Genomic DNA, 6217 nt, shown 5'->3' with positions numbered 1-6217 from the left:
AATGCCCGTGGAACAGAAGCAGCAAGATTGAGCAGAGGGAGAAGTAGAGCTCCAATGCAATCTTAGTGAACTGTGTCAGCCAGCGCTGCTGAGGAATTCTGAAGACGTGACCACCCTCAGAGCTGTCCTGAATTGAGCATGAGAGACCACTGAATGGGTGCAGGCTACCCTGGAAGGGGCATATTTGTGAGGGATGAGGCCACTTTCCTCTGCTGAGGCAGTCCCCAAAGGGACTGACAGTTGAAGACCAGCTTCAGTGGCACTCCCAGTCGCTGGAGTAATAATTCCTTTATTCCTGAAGGGGAATGAGGGGTGCATCATAGCATCTAACACTCACATAAATATGACGTCCTAAATGTTACTGACACTTGAGGAAATGGAACTGGTTTCAGTAATGGAATGGCGCATGTTTTTCAATATAAAGAAGTCTGATAAACATGGATACACAATACCCCCATGCATCAAAATTGCAAATATATGGAATCCACACGTACAGCTTACAGTACGTGGAGAGGATTAAATGAGGGGAAGAGAGTAGTGTTATTTGTGAGAGCGAGAACATGCTAAGAATGTCAGGCTAAATGGAAGAGTTGGAGGATGGATGCTTTCCTAAATTAAATGATAAAACTGTCACAGAGACAAGGTGTAATATTGATGGGCACTAGAACTATTTAGACATCTGTTCTAAATCTCTACAACAAGCTTAGAATTTAATGCATTCTTGACTTGCTTTCCTGATAATTTCATCTTTCAAAAGGGACGAGAAGGAATGACAGGAACTGCTACTCTACACTCAATTCTGACCAGCAAGGAAGGACTTGTTGGTGATGTTTATATGATAGAAATCTTCGCTTCAACAAATATACAACATAAAATGCAGTCTTTGCCTTCCTGAAGATGAAAGAAAGGAGTCATGTCTTCCCAGATTCTGTAATATAGAAAAAAAGAAAGAACCTCTGGTTATAGTAGACATGTAATTGAGGCTTTAGGAAAGCAAACTTCAAAAAGTTCACAGAAATATAATTATAACCCCAAGGTCAGAGGCAATAGAAAGCAATACATTTTTAAAATTTTGAACTCTGAAAAATAAAACTTTATACTGCAGAAACCAATATGATCCAACGTGGCGTCCTTTGATGAGTCTGTTTTGAAATGGCGTGTACCAAAAAATGAGAGAAAGGGCACAAACCAAGGAGAGTGAGACAATGGGTGATACGAACCCGGGAAGAAAGCGATAGAAGGAAAACTCCAGAAGAGGCTGAGCAGTGCTAAGTGAGGAGGACCACAGAAAGGGCTTTAAAAACATACACAGTTTGAAGCCAGCAGATAAGGGAAAGGATAAGCTGACTGCCAAGAGAAGAACCTGTTAAGTGATAACAGAGAAAAGGCAGAGGCACTCAATTTCTCCTTTCTTCTCCAGCAAGGAACATAGTCTTCATACTGAGAAGGGTAGAACCAATATCACAGAGAGGGAATTGAGGCACAACCCAAATGAGGAGAGAGTCAGAGACGACCTGGAATATAGGCTTTGCAGACCGAATGAAAGATTATAGGTCTCAGAACCACTGCCTCTTATCTCTGGAAAATAGAAAATGGGCCAGGTGCCAGAAATCTAAGCAAGGCAAAACTAGTTTTTTTAAAAGGAGGAAAAAATGGATTATGGAATTTATAGTGTGAGCTTAGCATTACTTTCAGCAATACTCTAGAATGCATATTAAGAAACATTTGTAAGCTAATAATTAAGACAAGCTAAACAGCCTTCATATTATTTTCTGGAAGAGCTAAAAGATGGACTATGGGAATACCAGGCATGACTAATCTTTTTTTCAGCACAATGCTTTGCAAAGATGCTCATAATATTCATTTGAACATGATGGAGGGATGTTACTCGGTTTGTAAACTAGTTGGGGGAATCCACTGCTGATCAACTGCATTAAAATGTTTACTAGTAGATTTGTATCTCTCATAGAGGAAGGTCCCTAAGGCGGTTTGTAGTTTTCTACATGTTTCTGTCTTACTCAACACTGCTTTTGGGGATCCATATGAAGACAATATAAGTAATAGTAGAGAGGCTATTATAAGAATAAGCAATTAATAGAAAAGGAAATATGAGATACTCAAACTCATTAGTAATTGGAGAAATTCAGATTAATAAAAACTGTAACAATTAGCACTAATCATTATTACTGAAAGTGTGAGAAAATACCACCCTCATATGTCTCGATGGGAATATACATTGATATAACCTTTCTGGAAGACAATGTTGGCATTTGTTACCAAGATTTTAAATATACATACTTTTCAAGTGACAATTCCACCCAGGTATCCAGCCTAGAGAATTCTTCACACATGTGCCCAGTGAGTCATGTACACTTTTTTAGCAATAAAACTGAAAACATTCTTAATGTTTATCAACAGGGAAAAGTTAAATTATATACATTCCTGTAATGGAACACTATGCATCAGATAAAAAGATAAATAATATATGTAAATGAGGACATGGAAAGAGCTCTAAGATATATTATGAAGTGAAAAAGGCAAGTTTAGACAAACAAGTACAACGTCCCACAGAATGAACTATTTCCAGAAATGAAGAAGTATATGGGGAAAGGTCTTGAAGAATACACTCCAAATTGAGTTGAGTGAGTACCTTTGGAGAGGGATGTGGGGTTGGAAGAGGGGCCAAAGGGGATGTTCAGTATCTGTAGTATCTGAGTTTATGCATTGTTAACATATTCAACATGTGATCTTTAAAATTAAAAATAAACAAAAATATTCCTTTGAAAAAATGTAATATTTTGGCTGGGCATAGTGATTCATGCCTGTAATCCCAGCACTTCAGGAAGACAAGGCAGGAGGATAACTTTGGTCCAGGAGTTTGAGACCAGCCTGGGCAACATAGGGAGACCCTATCTCTACAAAAAGATTTAAAAATTAGCAGGCATGGCAGTGCACCTCTAGGGCCTCAGCTACTCAGGAGGCTAAGATGGGAGGATCTCTTGAGCCCAGAAGGTCAAGGCTGCAGTGAGCTGTGATTGTGCCACTGCACTCTAGCCTGGACACAGAGCAAGACTCTGTAAAGAAGAAGGAGAGGGAGGGGGGAGGGGGAGGGGGAGGATATATATATATATATATATATATATAGTATTTTAAATAAAGAAAGGGTACCAAGGCACTAGTCTCGAATACATGACATGAATACTAGACATGAATCCTTGTCCTAGCTCTGCACTTGCTAGTAAGTCACCTCACTGCCCTGAGCTTCAGTGGCCACCTGTAAGAAAGGGAATAATCACTGCCCAGAGACTTAGATCATAAAATGAGATAATATATAGGACAATTTTTCAAAAACTTCACAGTGCACTAAAATTCCTTATAATTAAGATATATCCAAGTTGAATCAGGTGACTAAAGTTGGGAGGGAAAGCTAATAAATTGAATGATACAACCAGGGTCCAAATTATTTTAATGAATTAGATCAATGAGCATCAACCAATCAGAATAATTGAATAAGGATAAATATAAATTTTATTTATAGCTTCAAAAAATGAACTGCACAAGAGTAGGATATTAAAAAACAGTGTTAGAAGCATTATTGTGAAACAGTTTTAGAAGTAGTTTATAATGTAGATGCTGAAAATAAAACACAATTTCAAGCCATATTAAGAGAAAGCTTGGAGAGGTGCTCACAGTCACCGACTGGGTCATCCACCAAGATTCACTCATCCAAACTGGTTGACCAGTTAGAAACACTGAAATATGCATCATACAGTCTTACCTGAACTTCTCTACATTGAATGCCATACAACTTTGCATTTAATATGATTTAAATAATTTTCCCTGTTTTTTCCATTATACTGTAAGCTGCTTGAGGACAGGTGCCATGTATCATATTTCTTCATTCCCCATAAAATTTAGAGGAGATCTGGGCTCATAAAAGACATTTAGTAAATTGTAAACTTAATAAAACAATTTTTAAAGACTGATGATAATGCAGTTCCCATGCATCATTCTGAAGATCAGTAATTATATACATGGTTCCAAGAGTAGATTTGGAGGAGTTGAACCTGTACTGCCAGTTAATTTTGATTTTGATTTTTTTAGAGACAGGGTTTCACTCCGTTGCCCAGACTGGAGTGCAGTGGCATGATGATAGCTCACTCACTGCAGCCTCGAACTCCCAGGCTCAAGCAATCCTCCCACCTCAGCTTCCTGAGTATCTGTGGGCCACCATGCCCAGGTAATTTTTTTTCTAGAGATGGGCTCTCCCTATGTTTCCCAGACTGGTCTCAAACTCCTGGGTTCAAGTGATCCTCCTACCTCAGCCTCCCAAGTGCTGAGATTACAGGAATGAGCCACCATGCTTGGCCCCCAGTTCGTTTGTTTTGTTTTTGTTTTTGTTTTTTCACTCAGTTACCTCATTTTGACCTTGTCTTGTTGCTGCTGTTGCCTTTTGATTTTTTTATAACCAAAAAAGCTTCATTTTTTAAATTTAGCTTTCTTACTTTCTTGTGCCTTCAACACCTTTGAAACAATTTTCTCCTTCTTGATAAGGAAAGCACCTTTCAACTTGTCACAGGCACATTTGGCACACATGGGACACCTTAGGCCCTGCTGACATGTTTTTTCATACTGGCCAATCATAAGAACTTTAGGTCTCACAGCAGAAATCCCTCAAAGTCGGCCTGGGCACACACCACATGCAGATTTTGGTGCTTTTCCATCCTTCTTGGTGTAAAGGTAAACAATTCTATTACTAGGGGTTCAGTACAGCAGAGTTCTGTTAGAGGCTGTTGTAGGAAGCCTAAGACAATATGTCAAACACTGACATTCTGAGCGCTTCCAGACAGCATCCCTGGAAGAGCTGACCTTGTTTTCTTGAGATGTCTTTTCTTTAAAGCAGAGTGCAGTAATATTTCTATTGATTCATTACTGTATTATATTAGTAAAAGTGTTATGTGCAGAATATTTTCTGCTACAGGTGGCAGAAATGGCTGAGACATCTGTTAGAATGTGAGAAAATTATCCATCAATCAAAAGCTACTAGAGGAAATAGCTATTTAAGCATGGAAGCCCTTTATAGAGTTTTATAAGAATTCAGGCACATACAATCTTATTCTGCATTAAAAAAAATCCACTCAGGTAATTAATTTTTGCCCTCTCAGAGGTGTGGTATTGAGAAGGCAATATGTCAGCTGGAATATGTGCAAAGGTGGGACCGGTATCTATCATTTCCTCTTTCATTTCTATGAATCATTTCTATGATACCATTTCTATGAATTTCTATGAATCCTTTTGTTACCAGTGGCAAGTATCCGAGTTACTGGCAGTGAATCTGTATGGGTCTGAAGCAACCTCAATACTTGCCTCCTGAGAAGAAAGAATTCAACTGAGGGGCATAAGGCAGAAGGAGAGACTGAGGCAAGTCTTAGAGCAGGAGTAAAAGTTTATTTAAAAGCTTTACGGCCAGGCGAGGTGGCTCACACCTGTAATCCCAGCACTTTGGGAGGCCAAGGCAGGTGGATCACCTGAGGTCAGGAGTTCGAGACCAGCTTGGCCAACATCGTGAAAACCCTTCTCTACTAAAAATACAAAAATTAGCTGGGCTTGGTGGCACGTGCCTGTAATTCCAGCTACTCGGGAGGTAGAGACAGGAGAATTGCTTGAACCAAGCAGGCGGAGGTTGTGGTGAGCTGAGATCATGCCACTGCACTCCAGCTTGGGTGACAGAGTGAGACTCTGTCTCAAAAATAAAATAAAATAAAATAAAAAAGCTTTACAAAAGAAATGAAAGGAAAAAAGCACACTTGGAAGAGGGCCAAGTGGGCAATCTGCAACACAAGTGCACACTTGTTTTTCATGGTGCATGGTTTGACCTTTGAATTGGGGTTTTTACATGCTGGCATACTTTGGGGGTTTTGTGTTCCTTCTCCCTTAATTCTTCTCTTGGGGTGAGCTGTCCACATGTGCAATGGCCTGCTAGCACTTGGGAGAGGAACATGCACAATGTGTTTATTGGAATTGTACGCATGCTCACTTGGGGCATTCTTCCCTTACCAATCTAGCATTCCTAGAGGAAGGTTATATACCAGTTAAACTCCATCATGGCATGCTCGAGCTCACTCACCCAACTCCTGAGATCTTATTGGGAAGCTACTGATCACCAGTTTCAGGTTTTTTCTATCTATAGGGAGACTGCCTTTCCCTGGCACTGGCT

At 39.7% G+C, this 6217-nt stretch overlaps 1 pseudogene; it reads right to left on the bottom strand.

Annotated features, from left to right (window-relative positions):
- On the bottom strand, positions 4451–4864 carry RPL34P9 (ribosomal protein L34 pseudogene 9; annotated as a pseudogene).

Source organism: Homo sapiens, chromosome 3 (genome assembly GCF_000001405.40).
Source record: "Homo sapiens chromosome 3, GRCh38.p14 Primary Assembly".
Taxonomy (NCBI): domain Eukaryota; kingdom Metazoa; phylum Chordata; class Mammalia; order Primates; family Hominidae; genus Homo; species Homo sapiens.
Note: the sequence above shows the minus strand (reverse complement) of the source record. Positions and strands in the feature narration are given on the sequence as shown.